At 49.6% G+C, this 22,596-nt stretch overlaps 1 long non-coding RNA gene and 1 pseudogene across 5 annotated transcripts; both read left to right on the forward strand.

Moving 5' to 3' along the window:
* LOC105372263 (uncharacterized) lies at positions 699–15,286 on the forward strand. Of its 4 annotated transcripts, XR_001753858.2 has the most exons (5): positions 724–757; positions 2,647–2,707; positions 10,257–10,439; positions 10,644–10,710; positions 13,598–15,286. It is a non-coding gene; the product is annotated as an uncharacterized LOC105372263 (long non-coding RNA). The 4 variants fall into 4 exon arrangements; XR_001753856.1 differs by lacking the exon at positions 13,598–15,286 and having other exon boundaries at positions 699–737; positions 10,644–12,282; XR_001753855.2 differs by lacking the exon at positions 13,598–15,286 and having other exon boundaries at positions 10,644–12,543.
* A 2,299-nt stretch (positions 15,287–17,585) lies between these two features.
* On the forward strand, positions 17,586–21,114 carry CLEC4GP1 (C-type lectin domain family 4 member G pseudogene 1; annotated as a pseudogene). Its single transcript, NR_002931.2, has 7 exons — positions 17,586–17,661; positions 17,972–18,080; positions 18,410–18,557; positions 18,898–19,002; positions 19,311–19,406; positions 19,598–19,745; positions 19,862–21,114. The product of NR_002931.2 is annotated as a C-type lectin domain family 4 member G pseudogene 1 (transcript).
* Positions 21,115–22,596: the final 1,482 nt, after the last annotated feature.

Here is a 22,596-nt window from a genome sequence, read left to right on the forward strand (position 1 = left end):
CCTCACTACCCTCTGTGTATAAAATCTTCCTCAGCCTCCAGCTCAGAGAGACAGATTTGAACCAGATTCCTGTCTCCTTGCTTGGCTGTCTTGCATAAACTTTTCTCTCTATAAAAACCCAGTGTTGGGTCAGGCATGGTAGCTCATGCCTGTAATCCCAGCACTTTGGGAGGTCGAGGCAGGTGGATCACCTGAGGTCAGGAGTTTGAGACCAGCCTGGCCAACATGGTGAAACCCCATCTCTACTAAAAATACAAAAAATTAGCTGGGCATGCTGGGCGGTGCCTGTAAGCCCAGCTACTTTGGAGGCTGAGGCAGGAGAATCATTTGAACCTGGGAGGCGGAGGTTGCAGTGAGCCAAGATCGCACCACTGCACCACTCCAGCCAGGGCGACAGAGCAAAACTCCGTCTCAAAAACAACAACAACAATGACACACACAAAAAAAAACCCACACAGACTTCGCCTCCCTTCTACCATGTTGACCTCAAGGACATTCCTTAATAAACAGCTTGCTTGCTAAATCCCATCTCCCTTAGAGTCGACCTGCAACTGGCATGAGAACTGTGAGGCTTGTTTTTGTTGTTGTTTTTTGTTTGTTTGCTTTTGTTTTTTGAGACGGAGTTTTGCTCTTGTCACCCAGGCTGGAGTGCAATGGCACGATCTGAGCTCACTGCAACCTTCACCTCCCAGGTTCAAGCGATTCTGCCTCAGCCTCCCAACTAGCTGGAATTACAGGTACGTGCCACCACTCCCAGGTAATTTTTTCTTTTTTTTTTTTTTTTTGTATTTTTAGTTGAGACAGGGTTTCACCATGTTGACCAGGCTGGTCTCGAACTCCTGACCTCAGGTGATCCACCTGCCTCGGCCTCCCAAAGTGCTGGGATTACAGGCGTGAGCCACCATAACTGGCTGCGGCTTATTTGATATCAGTGGTCCCCACCTTATTTGGCACCGGGGACCAGTTTCATGGAAGACAATTTTTCCACGGACCAGGGGAAGGGGATCATTTCAGGATGATTCAAGCACATTACATTTATTGTACACTTTATTTCTATTATTATTGCACTGTAGAATATAATGAAATAATTATACAGCTCACCATCATGTAGAATCAGTGGGAGCCCTGAGCTTGTTTTCTTGCAAATAGATGGTCCCATCTGGGGGTGATGAGAGACAGCGATGGATCACCAGGCATTAGATTCTCATAAAGAGTGTGCAACCTAGATCCCTCGTGTGTACAGTGTACAATAGGGTTCCCACTCCCATGAGAATCTAATGCCACCGCTAATCCAACAGGAGGCAGCGCTCAGGCAGTAATGCAAGCAATGGGGAGTGGCTGTAAATACAGATGAAGCTTCACTCGCTCGCCCTCTGTTCACCTCCTGCTGTGCAGCCTGGTTCCTAAGATGCCACGGACTAGTACTGGTGGCCCAGGGGACAGGGACCCCCATTCTACATCATCTACCAGAGGCTCCTGGAGAAACTGAGCCCCAGTTGCCCACATGGGTCATAAGCTCGTCCATGCCTGTAAATTGGCTTCCTTCCTTTTCCTACCTGCCCCTCTTCACTTTCCCCCTTGTCTTCTGGTACTTCTTGGAACCTCCTCCCAGATAAACCACTTGTATCAAAATCCTTGTCACAGGCTTTGTCCCTGGTGAAACTCAAGCCAAACTTATAGTATGTTTTGACACCTGTCAGTCATGGTTCTTCTCCATCAAAATGTTCTCAGAGATTCTTGTGCAATTTCTTTTTTTAGATGATTTTTACATGACTCTAGCTTTGAAGGTCTTACTTTACTTTTTGAATAAGTCATGTGTGTGCCTGGAACCAAAACCCATCAATCTCTACAGTGATAATGAAAGCTGGCTCCCGGCTGGGCGTGGTGGCTCACGCCTGTAATCCCAGCACCTTGGGTGGCCAAGGTGGGTAAATCACCTGAGGTCAGGAGTTCGAGACCAGCCTGGGCAACATGGTGAAACCCCGTCTCTACTAAAAATACAAAAATTTGCTGGGCGTGGTGGCGCGTGCCTGTAATCCCAGCTACTCAGGTGGCTGAGGCAGGAGAATCGCTTGAGCCTGGGAGGTGGAGGTTGCAGTGAGCTGAGATCACACCATTGCACTCCAGCCTGGGCGACAAGAGGGAAACTTGGTCTCAAAAAAAAAAAAAAAAAGAAAAAAAAGAAAGCTGGCTCCCTCCCCATTCTCTGATCTGAAGAAGTTACTCTTCCTAGCTGCAACCTCTTTATCATATTCCAGATAATCCACTTGTCAAATTTGTTTAAAATCTGTTTGGCAATCCTTCAAAAGACTGTTGAAAATCTATTTGTGAATAGGTGGAGCACAGAGGATTCTTAGGGCAGGGAAACTACCGTATGATACTGCAACATCACTACACATTTTTTCAAATCACAGAATGTACAACACCAAGAGTAAGCCCTGATGTAAATTGTGGACTCTGGGTGACAATGATTTGTCAGTGCAGGCTCATCCATTGTAACAAATGCACCACTCACTCTGTCGAAGGATGTTGCATAAAGGTTGTTAATAGTGGTACAAGCAAGTTGCTCAGATATTACCTTGTGTTGGTGCTCTCCAAGGCTCAGCCCTACCCAACAAAATCTTATGCGTTGATATTTAATTTTAGGGGGCAATTGGCAGAAATGTCTATCAAGGCGAATGTGAATGTTTTGGGGAAAACGTCAAAGGTAAGCAAATCACCGTGGCCTGCTGCAAATGTTTAACAACCAGCTCTCAGGAGGGAAAGTATCAGTGCTTTCAGAAAACTTAAAGTACTTTTCAGAAAACTTAAAGGCCAGGAGAGAATGGGATGATATATTCAGAGTGCTGAAAGAAAGAAACTGTCAGGCGAATGATACTGCTGTAATCCTTTGCAGTGAGTCACTAAGTCCAGCCCCACTCAAAGGGGTATAAGAATGTGTGAACATACGTTAAAACCTCCATGCTAATTAGTAAGTATTTGAGGGGGAGGTGATACTTTGAGGTTACGGATCTGCTGCAACTCGGCTCTTGCCTCATCAGAGGAAAGAATTCATCCAAGAAGAGTAAGACAGAAAGTGAGACTGAGGCAAGTTTTAGCGAAGGAGTGAAAATTTATTAAAAGGTTTTACAGCAGGAAAAACAGGAAGTAAAGTACACTCTTGGAAGAGGGCCAACCAGGCAATTTGAGAGATTGAGGTGCTCAGTGCGACCTTTGACTTGGGGTTTAATGTGCTGGGATGCTCTGGAGTTTCACATCTCTTCTCCCCTGATTCTTTCTTGTTGAGATGGAGTTTCATTCTTGTCACCCAGGCTGGAGAGCAATGGCAGTCTTGGCTCACTGCAGCCTCTGCCTCCCGGGTTCAAGCAATTCTCCTGCCTCAACCTCCCGAGTAGCTGGTATTACAGGCACCTGCCACCACGCCCAGCTAGTTTTTTTGTATATTTAGTAGAGACGGGGTTTCGCCATGTTGGCCAGGCTGGTCTCAAACTCCTGACCTCAGGTGATCCACCTGCCTCGGCCTCCCAAAGTGCTGGGATTACAGGCGTGAGCCACCACGCCTGGCCTTCCCTGATTCTTTCACTGGGGTGCGCTGTCTGCATGCGCAGTAGCCTGCCAGCACTTGCGGGGGGCCACGTGAACAGTGTATTTACTGAAGTTGTGCACATGCTTATTTCAGGTGTTTTTCCGTTACCAATCTAGTGGTCCTAGAGGAAGGTCATATACCAGGTAAACTCCACCCACCAGGTGCGGTGGCTCACACCTGTAATCCCAGCACTTTGGGAGGCCAAGGTGGGTGGATCACTGAGGTCAGGAGTTCAAGACCAGCCTGGCCAGCATGGCAAAACCCCATCTCTACCAAAAATACAAAATTAGTGGGGCATGGTGACATGCGCCTGTAGTCCTGGCTATTTGGGAGGCTGAGGCTCGAGAATCACTTGAACCCAGGACACAGAGGTTGCAGTGAGCTGAGATTGCGTCACTGCACTCCAGCCTGGGAAACAGAGCAAGACTCTGTCTAAAAACAAGCAAACAAACAAAACCTCTACCGATTGCCTCTTGGTGCACATGCTTGAGCTGACTTGCCCGGCTCCTGAGATCTTATCAGGAAGCTGCCAATCACCAGCTCCAGGTGTTTTCTGTCTATTGGGAGCCTGCCTTTCCCTAGGACCAGCGGCCCAATTATTATTTTAGAGAAACAGTTTAACAACCACCTGATCATCACCTTGTAGCAGGGGGGCGTCTCCCACCGGGCTCATGTCTGCCTACCTACCTACTCCCTACTCTAAATGGGGAGACTGGGCCGGGCGTGGTGGCTCACGCCTGTAATCCCAACACTTTGGGAGGCCGAGATGGGTGGATCACGAGGTCAGAAGATCGAGACCATCCTGGCTAACACGTGAAACCCCATCTCTACTAAAAATACAAAAAATTAGCCAGGCGTGGTGGTGGGTGCCTGTAATTGTAGCTACTCAGGAGGCTGAGGCAGGAGAATTACTTGAACCCGGGAGGCAGAGGCTGCAGCAAGAAGAGATCACGCAACTGTACTCCAGCCTGGGCGACAGTGTGAGACTCCATCTCAAAAAAAAAAAAAAAAGGCCAGGCGTGGTGGCTCACACCTGTAATCCCAGCACTTTAGGAGGCCGAGGCAGACGGATCACGAGGTCAGAAGAGATTGAGACCATCCTGGCTAACAGGGTGAAACCCCGTCTCTACTAAAAATACAAAAAATTAGCTGGGCTTGGTAGCGGGCGCCTGTAGTCCCAGATACTCGGGAGGCCGAGGCAGGAGAATGGTGTGAACCCGGGAGGCGGAGCTTGCAGTGAGCCGAGATTGCGCCACTGCACTCCAGCCTGGGTTACAGAGCGAGACTCCGTCTCCAAAAAAAAAAAAAAAAAGCAATTTGGGAAGGGCTGAGCTTTGGAGAGTGCCAAGACATGGTGATAGCTGAGATTCTTTGTGGCCCTCAAAGAAATAGTTTTCTTCCCCTTGGGAGCAATGTTAACCCTGTTGAGGCACGGAAGAGAGTATGAAAAGACAAAAAGAGAGATTCTATAGTAGAGAAACCTGGCAGATACCACCTTAACCGAGGCTAGCATTGTCAATAAAAGGCATGTTCACGTGGATATCATACACACACCCCCATAGGATGTGACTAGAAAGGCACCTAGCCTTTGTGATATTCTTTTTTTTTTTTTAGATGGAGTCTTGCTCTGTCACCCAGGCTGGAGTGCAGTGGCTCGATCTCAGCTCACCGCAACCTCCACCACCCAGGTTCAAGCGATTCTCTGGCCTCAGCCTCCCAAGCAGCTGGGATTACAGGCGTGTAATTACAGGTCCGGCACCACCATGCCCGGGTAATTTTTGTATCTTTAGTAGAGACAGGGTTTCACCATGTTGGCCAGGCTGGTCTCAAACTCCTGACCTCAGGAGATCCGCCCACCTCGGCCTCCCAAAGTGCTGGGATTACAGGCATGAGCCACTGCACTTGGCCTGTGATATTCTTAACTCCAAACTAACAACCTCGCTCTAACCATTGGAGAACACTAGAAAAATCCGAATCAAGGACCATTCAATACATGCCTGATGAATACTCTTCAAATCTGTCAATATCGTGAAAGACAAGAAACCTGTCAGCATTTGCAGGAGATGCAGGAGAAGTGATGACTGATACGAGCTGAATTTTGTCTCCCAACAACTTCATACATTGAAGTCCTAACCCCCAGTACCTCAAAATGTACTTGTATTTGGAAATAGGGTCTTTGTAGAGATGACTAAGTTAAAATGAGGTCATGAGAGTGGATTCTAACCCAATATGACTGGTGTCCTTTTTTTTTTTTTTTTTTTTTGAGACAGGGTCTTGCTCTGGCGACCAGACTAGAGTACGGTGGCACAATCTCAGCTCGCTGCAACCTCCACCTCCAGAGTTCAAGCGATTTTCCTACCTCAGCCTCCCGAGTAGCTGGGATTGCAGGCATGCACCACCATGCCCAGCTAATTTTTGCATTTTTTAGTACATGTTGATCTCAATCTCCTGACCTCAAGTGATCCTGCCGCCTCGGCCTCCCAAAGTACTGGGATTACAGGCATGAGGCACTGCGCCTGGCCTATGATGAACTGTCCTTCTAAAACGGGGAAATATGGACACAGGCACATACAGAGGAAGACAGCTGAAGACACAGGGAAGAGGGGACCAGATATAAACTAAGAAGAGACACCTGCAGTGGATCCTTCCCCCACAGCCCAGAAGGAAGTAACTCTGCCGACACGTTGATCCTGGACTTCCAGCCTCCAGAACTGGGACAGAATGGATTTCTGTTATTTAAGCTCCCCTCTCCCCAGCCAGTGGTGCTCAGTTACTGCCGCCAGGCAAATTCCATCACTACCTGAATGCAGTGTGGGATCCTGGATGGGATCTTGCCACAGAAAAAGGACACCCATGGAAAAACTAATGAAATCCGAACGAGATCTATAGTTTCTAGTTCAGAGTATTGCACCAATATTAATTTCTTCACTTTGACATATGTACAATGGTAATGCAAGATGTTAACATCGGCTGGTTGTGGTGGCTCACACCCATAATCCCAGCACTTTGGGAGGCCAAGGTAGGTGGATCACCTGAGGTCAGGAGTTTGAGACCAGCCTGGTCAATATGGTGAAACCCCGTCTCTACTAAAAATACAAACATTAGCCAGGCATGGTGGCACCCGCCTGTAATCCCAGCTACTCAGGAGGCTGAGGCGGGAGAATTGCTTGAACCCGGGAGGCAGATGTTGCAGTGAGCCGAGATCACGCCATTGCACTCCAGCCTGGGCGACAGAGCAAGACTCTGCTTCAAAAAAAAAAAACAAAAACAAAAACAAAAAGATGTTCACATTAAAGGAAGCTGGGCAAAAGATATAGAGAAGGCTCTGTACTATCTTTGCAACTTATCTGTAATCTAAAACGATTGCAAAGTAAAAAGTTTGAAAAAAGACTCAATAAACCTATTTAGGATTCCACTCTTTAGGATTCCACTTATATGAGCTACCCAGAGAAATTTATAATGAAAGAAAGTAGAGGCCAGGCGCGGTGGCTCATGCCTATAATCCCAGCACTTTGGGAAGCCGAAGTGGGTGGATCATGAGATCAGGAGTTCGAGACCATCCTGGCCAACATGATGAAATCCCGTCTCTACTGAAAATACAAAACTTAGCTGGGTGTGGTGGCAGGCACCTGTAATCCCAGCAACTCGGGAGGCTGAGGCAGGAGAATGGTTTGAACCCAGGAGGTGGAGGTTGCGGTGAGCCGAGATCATGCCATTGCACTCCAGCCTGGGTGACAGGAGGAGACTCCATCTCAAAAAAAAAAAAAGGAAGAAAGAAAAGAAAAAGAAAAAGAAAGCAGAATGGTGATTACCAGGGACTGGGGAGAAAAAGGAATAGGACTTAGCGTTTCACAGGGACAGTGTTTTAGTTTGGAAAGTTGAAAAATCCTGGAGATGGATGGTGGTGATGGTTGTACGACAATGTGAATGAGCTTAATCCCACTGAACTGTACACTTACAAATGGTCAATGTTATGTTATATATCGTTTACCACAATTTTTAAAAAAAGCTCTATCAAAAAATCTATTTAGGATTTTTATTGGGATGAGCATTTGTTTTACTCTAGGATTTTTTTTTTTTTTTTTTTTGAGACGGAATTTCACTCTTGTTGCCCAGGCTGGAGTGCTATGGCACGATCTTGGCTCACCACAACCTCTGCCTCCTTTGTACTTTTAGTAGAGATGGGGTTTCTCCATGTTGGTCAGGCTGGTCTCAAACTCCCGACCTTAGGTGATCCCTGCCTGCCTTGGCCTCCCAAAGTGCTGGAATTACAGGCGAGAGCCACTGTGCCTGGCCTACTCTAGGATTTTTAGGATGGAGGAAACCCATTCAATGATTAGGAGAGACAAGAGGTGGAAATAAAGGTTGTATTACTTAGGGGTCCTGGGTAGGGAGGGCATGGCACTTCCAGAGGCCACAAACACACATATACACACACACACACACACACACACACACACACACACACACACACACACAGGTCAGGGAGAGCTTTTGCAGGGAGACAGAGGGGAAGCAACCAGTGTGACAATGCCGTGATTAGGTCCAGGGTGTTATCCACACAGGTTTCCCTCAGGGAGTTTTAATTGGTGGGTTTCATGGAAGCAGGCGTGAGTCTCAGGAGGTCAGGCTGTGACTGAGAGGTGGTCACTGCACCATATCTGCAGTCCGTGTAAGATGTGGATGGGTGGTGTGGGGGCCTGCAGAGCCAATCAATAGGCTGTGTCCAGCTGCCCCATAGGCAGGTGGTCATCGGGGGGAAGTTGGATAAAGCAGATCTGGATCAACCACATTGAGGAACTAGGAGCAGGTGGGGAACTGGAAACTGTGTCAAGGCTGACTGAGCCCTGTTTTTGGAAGGAGAGTCAAACATATTCAGAAAGGGGCTGACGCAACACAAATTAGAGGAATTCACTACAGCATTCGATTTATAAATTCATTTTGGAAGAAATAGCCTTTCTGAAATACTGAGTGTTTTGGGGGGAAACTCATCCTGTGTCTTTCTTTATTCAGATCTTAGTTAAGCATGGGAGATTTACCCATATTCTTCTTACGACTATTCTTTAATGTTTAAAAGCTTTTCTTGCCCTGTGAACAGGGTTTGTTTTCTCCTGCGTTTGCAAATACTCGTTACTTCAACCAAACAAAGCTGCTCCTTTTATAGAGAAATCTTGCTGTGAGCTCTAATTACTCCTGAAGTTAAGCCTCTAGAACTTCCTAGATACGTGATTATGGCTTCAAACTACAGTCAGCTTTGACTCTTGCTTTCAATATATTTATAGGTCTTATTTATTTATTTATTTATTTCTGTCTCTCTTTTTTTTTTTTTTTTTTTTTTTTTGAGACGGAGTCTCGCTCTGTCTCCCAGGCTGGAGTACAGTGGCGCGATCAAAGCTCACTGCAACCTCCGCCTCCCAGGTTCACACCATTCTCCTGCCTCAGCCTCACAAGTAGCTGGGACTACAGGTGCCCGCCACCAAGCCTGGCTAATTATTTTTGTATTTGTAGTAGAGACGGGGTTTCACCGTGTTAGCCAGGATGGTCTCGATCTCCTGACCTCGTGATCCGCCCGCCTCAGCCTCCCAAAGTGCTGGGATTACAGGTGTGAGCCACCGCGCCCGGTCTTTTTTTTTTTTTTTTTTTTTGAGACAAGGTCTCGCTCTGTTGCCCAGACTGGAGTGCAGTGGCACAGTCATGGCTCACTGCAGCCCCAAACCCCCAGGCTCAAATCCTCCCACTTCAGCCTCCCAAGTAGCTGGAACTACAGATGTGCACCACCACACCCGGCTAATTTTTGTATTTTTTGTAGAAACGGGGTCTCCCTATGTTGTGGAGGCTTGTCTTGAACTCCTGGGCTCAAGCAGTCCTCCCACCTTGACCTTCCAAAGTGCTGGGATTCACAGACGTGAGCCACTGTGCCTGGGCTTCTTTTTATTTTCTTACTGCATTGGGAAAACAGCAAGAGGGCCATCTTTATTTTGTTCTTGACTTTACCAAATGCAGTTCTCATATTTAATTATTAAGGAGTTTCTGTAGGATTGTGGAAATTGCCCCTTATCCCACCAGTATCAGGCAGCTAGGGGCTGTTGTAAGCAACTACCATGAACTGGGAGGCTCCAAACAATGCTAATTTATTATCTCACAGTCCCGGAGGCCAGAAGTCTGGAATCAAGGTGTCAGCAGGGCCATGTTCCATCTGAATCATGTAGGGGAGAATCCTTCCCTGCCTCTCCCTAGATTCTGGTGATTGCCTGTTGGGAGCCGAAAAGGCCAAAGGGATCGTGACCAACTCAGCATTCCACTGGAAGCTGTATGATCAAACAGCAAAGTGTTTATCATGAACGCAGGATGTGGGCAAACTCACGACTGCGCCTACCGCCAGAAGGTTTGCTGAGGGCAATCACTCCCTGGCACCACGCTCACTGGGGTTATCTACTGGGACATCTAGAGCCTATTGCTCGAAGAATGCAGCCTTGCAAGCCTGCTGTAAATCAAGCCGCTGACTGACAACCACCCCCCGCCCCCATCTCCTTTACCCAATAAAATGCAAAGGGGTCTAAAGCTCAAGGTACTTGTTCACTAGAAAGAAGCAAGGAGCCCCCCGACCCCTTCTTCCAAATATACTCTTTTGTCTTTATCTTTATTCCCACATTCATCATCCTTTGTTCAGTCCAACAGGGATGGAATCCGTGGCAAAGTGGCGACCCAGAACAGGGACTTGAGGACGTTGCAAAGTGGCTTCTGAACACAGAGACCGGAGGACGTGAACGAAGAAGGTCGGCTGGAGCAGAGGAACCGAAAACGACAAGATGAATGGGGACCCCGAGACAAGCCTGCCAGCAGCGGATATAAGGTCAGTGCCCTAAAGAAGTACTGGGAACGGGAAGTTTTCTGAATCAGGGTAACATGCGGCAGAATTTGTCTGTTGAAGAAAAACATGTGCACTTGCTTCAAGTTCTGTTGAGACAGTCTGGAGCTCAGGTTAATTCGCAGATACTAACCAACCTCCTGCAGAAGCCACAAATGGTTATTAACGCATAACCCATGGTCTCCACAGGCAGGCACTCTTGATGTGGAAAACTGGAACAGAGCGGGAGAAGGATTGAAACATGCTCATCAAAAAGGTCTTAAAGTTGATTCTTCTGCTTTCTGTACTTGCAGTCTAATTCGTACTGTACTTATGCCGTTATCTCCTTATTATTCTGCGGGACAGCAGGCTGAGTCTAAAAATCTGAAAGAATCTGTTGTCCCACCCACAGCTTCAATTGAAAATAAAAAACAGGAGAGGGAGGATAAAAATTGGCCTATACTGCCTCCTCCAGTTGCAGAAACATCTGTGCCGCCTCCTTCGGTAGCAGGAATAGAGACCCCAATACAAAGAATTTTACGCTCTGCTGCCATAGCTGGAGAGCCCTCAGGACCTTGTGCTTTTCCTATTTCCGTAAGGCCCGATTCAAATAATCCACAGCAGTTTATTCATGAACACACCCCACTAGAGTTTAAGTTGTTGAATGAATTAAAAACCAGTGTAGTTAATATCGGGGTACAGAGCCCATTCACTTTAGGATTGCCAGAATCTGCATTTGGTGCTATGCGTCTTCTACCCTTTGATGTAAAACACTGGGCTCGAACTTGCTTGTCTGCTAGTGCATATCTGACATGGAATTTAAATGGGCAAGAAATGTGTACAGACCAGGTTAGACAGAATCGTGCTGCTGGACACGGAGACATCGCAGAGGATATGCTATTGGGTAATGGCCCTTATTCAGACCTGGAACATCAAATGGAACTAAACGCGCCTGGGCCACAATTCCTGAAGAGGGAGTCCCAGTACAATCCTTTTTACCTTTCATGGAAGGGTCACAGGAGCCCTCTGCACAATTTCTTGCAAGATTACGAGAGGCAGTGAAGTGTCAGATTCCTCATGCCACTGCCGCAGAGGCGCTAACCTTAACTTTAGCTTCTGAGAATGCAGACGCAGATTGTAAACGTGCACTGGCACCCGTGAGGTGTACTAAAAACTTGGGAAATTTTCTCAGAGCTTGTCAGGATGTAGGAATTGAGCTTCATCGCTCTGCAATGTTAGCGGAAGCAATGGCTGATTTAGTAGTTGACAAATCTAAAAGGAGCCAAGGATTAAGCCCTCAAGTGGGAAAATGTTATAATTGTGGAAAAACTGGACATTTTGAAAAAGAATGCCGCCAGATCTCAGGACAGAGAGGACCTTATAATGCAGTACCCCCCCCCTCAGTGGAAAAAACGCCAGGACTTTTATTTACTTTTATTTACCCAATAAAATGTGAAGGGCTTTAAAGCTCAGGGCCCTTGTTCAGTAGAAGCAAGAAGCCCCCGACCCCTTTTTCCAAATATACTTTTTTGTCTTTATCTTTATTCCTGCATTTATCATCCTCTGTTCACTACAACAGGGATCAAGGTCAGTGACAGTTGCCGACAACCTTTGGCATTCCTTGGCTTGCAGACCCTTTGCTCGACTCTCTGCCTCTTTTGTCACGTGGCTTTCTTCCCTCTTGCCGTTTTACATAATCTTCTCTCTGTACCTTTCTCCTCCTCATATAAGGACATAGTGATACTGGATTAGGGACCACTCTCATGACCTCACCATAATGTAGTTACATCAGCAAAGACCCTATTTCTCGGCTGGGCACAGTGGCTCACGTCTGTAATCCCAGCACTTTGGGAGGCCGAGGCAGGTGGATCACCTAAGGTCAGGAGTTCGAGACCAGCCTGACCAACATGGAGAAACCTTGTCTCTACTAAAAATACAAAATTAGCCGGGCGTGGTGACACACACCTGTAATCCCAGCTACTCAAGAGGCTGAGGCAGCAGAATCACTTGAACCCGGGAGGCAGAGGTTGCAACGAGCCGAGGTCTTACCACTGCACTCCAGCCTGGGCAACAGAGTGAAACTCCATCTCAAAAAAAAAAAAAAAAAAAAGACCGTGTTTCCCAATTTTAAAAGTCACATTCACAGATACCAGAGGTTAGGCATTCAGCATGTCTTTTTGGGAGCTATAAATCAACCCACTAAACCACGGACATCTTTATTTGTTCTTCATTTTACCTAAAATGTTTCTCATATTTTAGTGTTATGTAAGATATTTCTGTAGGATCCCAGAAATTACCACTTCTCAAATTAAGAAAGCTTTATTCTGTTCTCTCTTTATTAAGCATTTAGTTTTTGTGCCTGTCTTCATTTTTAAATGAATAATGGGTATTGAATAGATATATCTCATAAATGTAATGTAGAGAGGACAAAAACAAGTTACGGAAGGATATAGACCATGTGGTAACACTCCTGTAAAGTTTTCAGATGTGCAAAACAAACCAGCATAGGTCAGGCATGGCAGCTCATGCCTGTAATCCCAACACTTTGGGAGGCTGAGGTGGGTGGATCACCTGAGGTCAGGAGTTCAAGATCAGCCTGACCAATATGGTGAAACCCCGTCTCTACTAAAAATACAAAAATTAGCCAGGTGTGGGGGAGTGTGCCTGTGGTCCCAGCTATTCAGGAGGCTGAGACAGAAGAATTGCTTGAACCTGGGAGGCAGACGTTGCAATGAGCCGAGATCGTACCACTGCACTCCAGCCTGGGTAACAGAGTGAGACTTCTTCTCAAAAAAAAAAAAATCCAAAATATTGTCCTTGGGTACATGCATAATTATTTTAAATAGGATAAACACCAAGTTTGGGAGGGCAGTTACCTTGGGGAGGGGAATAGGAGCAGGGTGGGGTACAAGGGACCTCCACTCTATTTGTTATGATTTGTTACGTAATGATGCTTTACTTTTAAGGTGATCTGAAATACATGAAGATGTCAAAACTTGAAAAAGCCGAGTGAAAGGCATAGCGTTTATATTTGTTTCTACAAACCTCTTTGCATGCTTCGTAATAAAAAAGCAAAGCCAAAATTCAGAGCGACAACCAATGTGCCACATGCCCTTTGCAGTGGGCTGGCTTCCCTGGTTACAGCAACCCTCTCATCTCTGCAGAGAATGGAAACCAGAGTGGTCATGGCCTTGGAGCTGAATCTTGTGACTTTCACCTTCTTCCCACATTTGTCCAAACCTCTTGTCCCTGCTCTTCAGGTCCTTGTGTGATGTGACCCAGCTGACACCCTAGCCCCAGATGACTGCCCCTGAATTAGTCTCAGCTTCTCCAACCTGTTCCCTTATCCTCTATTCTTGCATGTGCTGATACCGTATTGAGAACGTTCTTTAATGTTATTTATCTCCTCTGGAATAATTCTGACTCCCTCCTCAAGCATCACCTCCTCCAGGAAGCCCTCTCGGATCCTCCAGGCTCAGCCAGTGTCTCCAGTGGTCCTCACAGTCTCCTGTACTTCCCAAGCTCATCATATTGTCTTCAAATTCCGTGGTTACATGTTCCCCACTCGCCTGAGAAACAGGCCTCCCTTCCTTGTCCTGGGCCAGGGATAGATGTGGAGGTCTGCTGCCTCCTTCTAGGACCTCTCTTCCGCTCTCAGTTACCCCGCAGCGAGGTCTGGGCACAGGACATTGATGGGCAGCCTTCTGGCTTCCTCACTAAGCTGGACAGCTCCGCCCTGGCTCGCCAAGGCAGCTTCAGCCACAGGTGTATCCAGCAGAGCCTCTATCTCCTCCATAAGGTCTGATGAAACACTGCCATCTAAATCCTTTCCCCAGAACACATTCCTATGGTTGCCCTGGACAGAGATTGTGCAATCCTTGCAGTTTTTCTGATTTCCTCCCTTTGAGCACCTGTCCCTAAAAGCCTCAGAATGAAGAGGGCGTGCCCTCCAAAAAGTTCCTGCCCTACGGTTAAGCCTGCTGCTAAGTCAGCTTTCAGCGCTCCGTTTCTGATGATGAAAGCAAGATGAGTCAGATGGTTTGGGAACAAGGGAACTTCTAGAAAGAAGAGTCTAGGAAGCTAAGTTTTGTTAACCCTTCAGCGTCTCCTAAGCACTGCTAACTTTTAATGTTTAACCCTTCCTCCTCCCTCTGTACCATAGACATCCATTCTGATGTGTTTGATACATGCCCTTACATTAGTTTTTTAAGGAAAATATGCTTACATTTGCCTTTCTTATTGCTATAAATTTATGGGGTACAGGTGTAATTTTGTTGCATGCATAGATTTCATAGTAGTGAAGTCATATCCTTAATATTTATACATACTTGGAGTGTGTGTGTATGTGTGTGTGTGTGTGTGTGTGTGTGTGTTATTGAATCAAATCATTTCTGCTTCTCCCAGCTCTAGGCTACTAAGAATCTGGACTGCTGCTGCCTGTACAACTAGTTGATTACGATTTGTTTCATGTGTGTACTCACTACACTTTACTTACTCTTTGCCTGCTCAGGGTCTTGTAGGTTACCCCCAACTCTGCTACTGTAAACAACACTGTGTTGAACATCCTTGTAAATGCCCTTGGAGAAACCTTCTCTAAAAAGTATCTCTTTTTAAAATATCAGAGGGTATATGCCACCTGTATTTCACTACATACTTCCAGACTGTTTTCCAAATTACTGAACTAATTTATACTTCCACCAGCAGTGAGCAACAGTTCCCACTTCCTCACATCTTCACCAACACTTAATACTATGCATCTTTTTAATGGTTGCATTTTAATTGGTATAAGGTTGTACCTCATTATTTTTTCTACAATTAAGTAGACATTAAACTTTCCTGAAATATGTGCTCAATCTTTGGCTTCTTCTATGAATTGCCTTTTCATTCCCCTGGCCCATTTTTCAATTGATTTTTGTGTGTGGGTGTTTCTTTGTTTGTTTTGTTTTGTTTTTTGTTTTGTTTCTTGGGACAGAGTCTTGCTCTGTCACCCAGGCTGGAGTGCAGTGGCACAATCTCAGCTCACTGCAACCAACCTCTGCCTCCCGGTTCAAGCAATTCTCCTGCCTCAGCCTCCAGGGTAGCTGAGATTACAGGCGCCCACCACGCCTGGCTAATTTGTATTTTTAGTAGAGACGAGGTTTCACCATGTTGGCCAGGCTGGTCTCGAACTCCTGACCTCAGGTGATCCACCTGCCTCAGCCTCCCAAAGTGCTGGGATTACACATGTGGGCCACTGCGCCTGGCTGGCCCTTTTATGTTAATTCTTCTGACCTCTGGAAACATTAGCTATCTTTATCCAAATCCTTTTTACAGTATTCTCTAATTGAATTTAAATTTTTTTCTCTGCAGATATGTCCTGTGCATTTTTTTTATTTTTATTTTACAGTCTTCCTCTATTACCCAGCTAGAGTGCAGTGGCACTATCATAGCTCACTACAGCCTGGAGCCTCGAACTCCTGGGCTCAAGTGATCCTCCCACCTCAGTCTTCAGAGTAGCTGGGACTACAGGCGCATGCCACTACATTTGACTAATTTTTGTATTTTTTGTAGAGAGGAGGGCCTCACCATGTTGCCCAGGCTGGTCTTGAACTCTTGGGCCCAAGCGATCTACCCGCCTCAGCCTCCCAAAAGGCCGGGATTACAGGCATGAGCCACCGCACCTGGCCTCTGGTGCATTCTTTATTGATTCTTAGATACACGATAATTTGAGTTGCTATTTTAGAGGCTTTATTTTTCATTAACTTTCTAGTTTGTTGTTTCTATTAATTTTAGTAATGTAATCACTCTGTGCAAATGCTCTTCGTAGTTGCAATCTTTACATTTATTCCTCTATGTAGGTGATAATATTTTTTTTTTTTTGAGGTGGAGTCTCGCTGTGTCCCCGAGGCTGGAGTGCAGTGGCGCGATCTTGGCTCACTGCAAGCTCCGCCTCCCGGGTTCACGCCATTCTCCTGCCTCAGCTTCCCGTGTAGCTGGGACTACAGTCGCCCGCCACCATGCCCGGCTAATATTTTGTATTTTTAGTAGAGACGGGGTTTCACCTTGTTAGCCAGGATGGTCTCGATCTCCTGACCTCGTGATCCGCCCACCTCAGCCTCCCAAAGTGCTGGGATTACAGGCGTCAGCCACCGCGCCCGGCTGGTTATAATATTTTAAAATACCTGGCACATGGCAGGTATTCAATGTTTGTTGAAAGAATGCATGAACATTGAGAGTTTTTGATGAACCTGAGATGGTTCTGGGTAGACATGCGTAACTTCATTGTTTCTCGGTGTTTCTTTGAGAGAAGCCCCGTCACTGTACTCTTTTCAGGGTTGGTAAAAGAAAACTGGGGCTTCTAGGCTGGCCGCCGTGGCTCACACCTGTAATCCCAGCACTTTGGGAGGTCAAGGAAGGCGGATCATCTGAGGTCACGAATTCGAGACCAGCCTGTCCAACACGGTGAAACCCCATCTCTACTAAAAATACAAAAATTAGCCAAGCGTGGTGGCACGCACCTGTAATCCCAGCTACTTGGGAGGCTGAGGCAGGAGAATCGCTTGAACTTGGGAGGCGGAGGTTGCAGTGAGCCGAGATTGCATCACTGCACTCCAGCCTGGACAACAAAGGGAGACTCTGTCTCAAAAGAAAAAAAGAAAAAGAAAGTTGAGGCTTCCTGAAGCTACACACTGCACAGCCCCATCCGCCACCCACCAAGTGGTAGAGTCCTGCAGCTCAGCAGACCACCTCCTCAACAAAACCTCTGTTTGCTCTCTTCTGGCACAGAGGGAGTGAATCAAGGTCAGGTTCAGACCCAGCCTCTGAGGAGGGACCTGAACTGGCCTGGGGAGCTACGCCTTGGGGGCTTTCTCAGGAGCCAGCAGGGGTTACAATTTGGTCGGGTCCAGTGTGTCCCTCTCAGGCGGAAACCCAGCCCCAGGCCCATAAGAGAGGGGTCCAAGCTCCAAAGAGAAGCCTCCAGCACCAGCCTGGGGATGGAGCTGCAGCGACGAGGACCGGGAAGCTGGAACTACCTCACCCCGAGCCCAGCTCAGCCCAGCCCAGCCCAGAAAGGGCCCAACCCTGTGATTGGTCCAACCCTGTGATTTGTCCTTGGGTCCCTGTTGCCAGGAATCCAGGCCAAGAAAATGAGAAGGAAGGAAGGGAGTGCGTAGGTCCAGTGAGGACGAGGGTGAAATTTATATCTCTGCCCAGGTCTCGGTGCCTGCACCGCCATAGACACCACCAGGTACAGCAACTGGGGCGGGAGCTACGAGGAGGTCCCCGGAGGTATGAGCAAGGAGACTGCCCCATCCCTGCCCCGGTGTCTGGGGTTTGATGGGGGAGGGGAGGGAAGAGCCAAGACGGGCCAGAGTCGTGGGTGCAAAAAAAACAACACAGAGCCAGTTGGACCAGGGGCCAATTCCAACTCTGCCACTTAGAAGCTGTGTGACCATAGGCAAGTTACTTAACCTCTCTGAAACTCAGTTTCCTGAGAGGAACCCAGGCCTCTAGGGCTCAGTCCTGGGGGACCCAGCATGCCGTCCTTGTTCTGCCAGGGCACTGGGGACGCTGGGTGCACTGGAGCCCGAGACCCCTCTTCCTGGCCATGGCTGTCCTGGTCGCCAGTACTGTGGGCTGTGATTCTGAGTATCCTATTGTCCAAGGGTGAGTGACCCTCAATGGGGAGGGGTTGCGTCTGGCCCCCCTGGGGACACAAAACCCCCACTGCATGGCGCACCAACTGCGCCCTGGCGTCTTGCTCGCGTCTGAGCGTGAGCAGAGTGTGTGTACATCTTTGGGCCGTTTGCAGTCACGCGTGTGCACATGGCGTGCACGTATGTGTGCGAGTCCCCACGCGTTTGTCTCCCATCGGCGTGTGTGCACATAGTGTGCGCTATATGCCTGCCTGCCCGCCCGCTCTGTGGTCCCGAGTCGGGGGACCCCGCACCCCCCGGGCAAGGGAAGGATTTCCGAGTCCCTGGCCTTGCCTGCAGGAGCCTCTCTCCGCAGCCTCCACGGAGCGCGCGGCGCTGCTCGGCTGCCAGGACCTGCTGAGGACAAACGGTGTGTGCAGAGCCGGGCGCCTGGGCGCCCGGGGCGTGTGCGGCGGGAGCGTCTGAGACCCCAGAGATGGAGTCCTGGGTGCGTGGGGGCCCTGTGGTCCCTGAGTCTGGCCACGGGGTGTGGAAGGGAGTCCCCTGAGTCCTCCCAAGTGACCCGGCGGGCATGCGTTTTGGGATGGGGGTCGTTCCAGCCTCGAAGCAGACGGCGGCGCTGGGTGCCCTGGAGGAGGAGGTGGGAGCCTGCCACAGCTGCTGTGAGGGGGCGCGGCCCAGACTATGGGCGCAAGGGTGGGGTCTTGTGGCCGGGATGGGAGGGGGGCCGGAGGCGAGGCCTGCGGCGAGTGGGGCGGCGGGGGGCTGGTCTCCGAAGTCCCGCCCCATCCTCGCCTCCCTCGCCCCTCTCACCCCGCGGCTCCCAGGCTCGGGGACGCAGGCGCTGCTGCAGACCACGAGCGCGGAGCTTGGGGAGGCGCAGGCGAAGCTGATGGAGCAGGAGAGAGCCCTGCGGGAACTGCGTGAGCGCGGTGAGGGCCCGACGCGACCCCAGCCCTGAGCCCTGGCCGCGTCCCCCGACCCCGACCCCGACCCCGTCCTGAGTGCTGACCCCTGACACTGATCATGCACCCCGTCCTGACCCTGACGCTGCACTCTGACCTTGACTGCCACTCCTAGCGCCGGCCACACCCGGACCCTGCCCAGGTGTAACCGTCCTTGACCCTGTGCCATCCTGGTGGCTGGCACCGAGGGTACAATGACCACGGACAGGGGTCCTGACCTTTAGCTAGTCCTGACCTTGAGCCCAACCAAAATCCCCATTCCCTTGACCCCGCAGTGACCCATGGCTTGGCTGAAGCCGGCAGGGACCGCGAGGACGTCAGCACCGAGCTGTACCGGGCGCTGGAGGCCGTGAGGCTGCAGAACAGTGAGGGTGAGGGGGGGTAGGAGGGGGTGCGGTGTAAGTGGACCCTGCCCGTGTGCGTCGCCGGACCCCCTCTTTGACCTTGGCCTGGTCCTGTGGCTCCACCCCTGAGCCCGTGGGGCCAAACCCCTACCCCCTGCATCCTCTTGGTGCGCTCTCCCTGGAAGCACTCGACCTCTCTGACCCTTGCCACCCTACAGGTTCCTGTGAGCCGTGCCCTACGTCGTGGCTGCCCTTCGGGGGCTCCTGCTACTATTTCTCTGTGCCGAAGACCACGTGGGCAGAGGCGCAGGGCCACTGCGCCGATGCCAGCGCACATCTGGCGATGTAGGGGGCCTGGGGGAGCAGGTGCGCAGGAGGAGGCGGCGTTCACCCGAGGGGGCGTGGCCGGGCGGTGGGGCGGCGCCGGGGGAGGGGGCAGGACGGGTCTGACTCTGCAGGCTCAGGTGTCTCCTCCTTTCTAGGACTTCCTGAGTCGTGACACTAGTGCCCGTGAATACTGGATCGGCCGCAGGGCCGTGCAACACCTGCGCAAGGTTCAGGGCTACTCGTGGGTGGACTGAGTCCCACTCAGCTTCAGGTAGGGGAAGGGCTCCTGGTGAAACCTGGGGGCCACAGGTTAGACTCTAGAGGACATGTTTTGAGGCCGAGGTGGGCGGATCACCTGAGGTCAGGAGTTCAAGACCAGCATGGGAAACGTGGCGAAACCCCATCTCTACTAAAAATACAAAAAATTAGCCGGGCGTGGTGGCACACGCCTGTAATCCCAGCTAACCCTGGATGCTGAGGCACGAGAATCACTTGAACCCAGGAGGCAGAGGTTGCAGTGAGCCGAGATTGCGCCACTGCACTCCAGCCTGGGAGACAGAGTTAGACTCCGTCTCAAAAAAAAAAAAAAAAAAAAAAAAAAAAAAAAAAAAAAAAAAAAAAAGTCATGCTTTGGCCAGATCTCAGGGACCCCTTGGCTGGGGCTCCATGCTTAGGGATGGGCAGGCTGGACCCTAGGAAGTGTCCTTGGGTTAAATTCTGGGCGTTAGTAAGTTATATCCCAGGTGTATACTCAGGTTAGACACTTGGGGTGTCTAGCGTAGACCCAGGCAATAAACAGGCTAGAGCCTGGGAAGGAAGTGGGGGCCCCGGGTCCATCCCTAGCTTAGATTCCCAGCATCACCCCCCGCCCGGCCATTCAACCACTGCAGCCACTGGTTACAGGGGGAACGCAATGAATTTTGGGGGTGCGAGGCCTGTGTCATGATTCTGGGCATGGGGCTGTGGATAGACCCACCACGTGATGAGAAGGCTGGCCGGATCTGTCAGCAGAGGCACGGTGCTGACCCCGCCCGGTGCCCCAGAGCCGTGCCCAGTGCCCAAAGGGGTGCTGTGCACCATCCCGGCTACTGGAACCCACTGCCAAGGATTTTCTTTTCCCCATCCACCACTGCTGAGAACCAATCGGCCAGGCCCAGCCCTGTCCGGTGCCTGCACTCTGGGACCTCTGCTCTGACTTCATGCAAACCTAACCTAACCTTCACTGGCTCCAAAATCTCCATTTCTGGATCCCAGTGGTCTGACCCCACCTCTCCTCCTAGCCAAGGTCAGGCAACTGAGGAATGGAGCTATTTGGTTTTCCTGCACTTTCCCGCAAAGGGGAAAATGGTACTTCCTGCAAAGCTCTCTTTGCAGCCTGGGGGAGCATCAATAAAGGTTTGAGAAATGGATCCAGGCTCCTGGCTCTGGTGAGCTCTTATTTATTTATGTATGTATTTATTTATTTATTTATGTAGAGATGGAGTCTCACTCTGTCACCCAGGCTGGAGTGCAGTGGCACAATCTCAGCTCACTGTAACCTCCGCCTCCCAGGTTCAAGGGATTCTCGTGCCTCAGCCTCCCAAGCACCTGGGATTACAGGCGTGTGTCACCATGCCTGGCTAACTTTTTATTTTTTAGTAGAGACAGGATTTCACCATGTTGCCCAGGCTGGTCTCGAACTCCTGGACTCAAGTGATCTGTCTGCCTCAGCCTCCCAAGTAGCTGGGATTAGAGGCATGCACGACCCCACCTGGCTCAATTTTGTATTTTTTATAGAGATGGGGTTTCACCATGTTCCCCATGCTGGTCTCAAACTCCTGAGCTCAATCGATCCACCCACCTCAGCCTCCCAAAGTGCTGGGATTACAGGTGTGAACCACCATGCCCGGCCCTCTGGTGAGCTCTTCTAAGCTTCATCCCAGAAGCCCTGGTGTAAACCTTGTGAGTGACCCCTGATCTCTCTAAGTGACCTCATAGTCCTATGATGCTTCCAAACCCAGTGGGTAACCTGCACTAGGCCAGGAGGGCTTGAAGGTAGGGGCAGTTGTCCACTCAGCACTGTTAAAATTCTCAGCCCCCTGGCACAGAGTGTGGTTCAGAGGGTTCTGGGGACACAGGAATGGGTCAAACCCAGTCCTTATCCCCAGGACCTCCACATTCTGGTCTAGCTGGGCACAGGAACATGATCCGTGCATGGAGCGGGTAGCTGATGGGCATGGGGGAGCCACTTTTTGTTGGGGTCCAGCCTCAACACTACCCGTAGGTAGCCAAAGTCCAGTGGTGACAAAGAATGAGAAAAGACAAATTAAGATTTTAGGCCTGGCGCGGTGGCTCATGCCTGTAATCCCAGCACTTTGGGAGGCCGAGGCGGGTGGATCACGAGGTCAGAAGATTGAGACCATCCTGGCTAACACGGTGAAACCCCGTCTCTACTAAAAATACAAAAAATTAGCCAGGTGTGGTGGCGGGTGCCTGTAGTCCCAGCTACTCAGGAGGCTGAGGCAGGAGAATGGCGTGAACTCGGGAGGCGGAGCTTGCAGTGAGCCGAGATTGTGCCACTGCACTCCAGCCGGGGCAACAGAGTGAGACTCTGTCTCCAAAAAAAAAATAAAGATTTTAAAGCTGGTCCAGGGGGCCATTTGCCAGAGTGAAGGCTGCAAAACACCCAGAGCTCTGGTTGCCTGACAATTTATTGAGAACGGTCTTTTGATCTAAGAAGCGGCTGGTATGGGATGAAACGGTGAAGGAGGGGGAGTGTACGTCATTGGAAAGATCTGTAGCAGTAGCAGTTATATGAATTTCCTTTAAGCTAAAAGCATATGTCTAACTACGAAGATAATCTTCAACTTATCAGGCTGCAGCTGGTGGGGACTGGTTTTACAAGGAGCCA

The sequence above is a fragment of the Homo sapiens genome, chromosome 19 (genome assembly GCF_000001405.40).
Source record: "Homo sapiens chromosome 19, GRCh38.p14 Primary Assembly".
Lineage (NCBI taxonomy): Eukaryota > Metazoa > Chordata > Mammalia > Primates > Hominidae > Homo > Homo sapiens.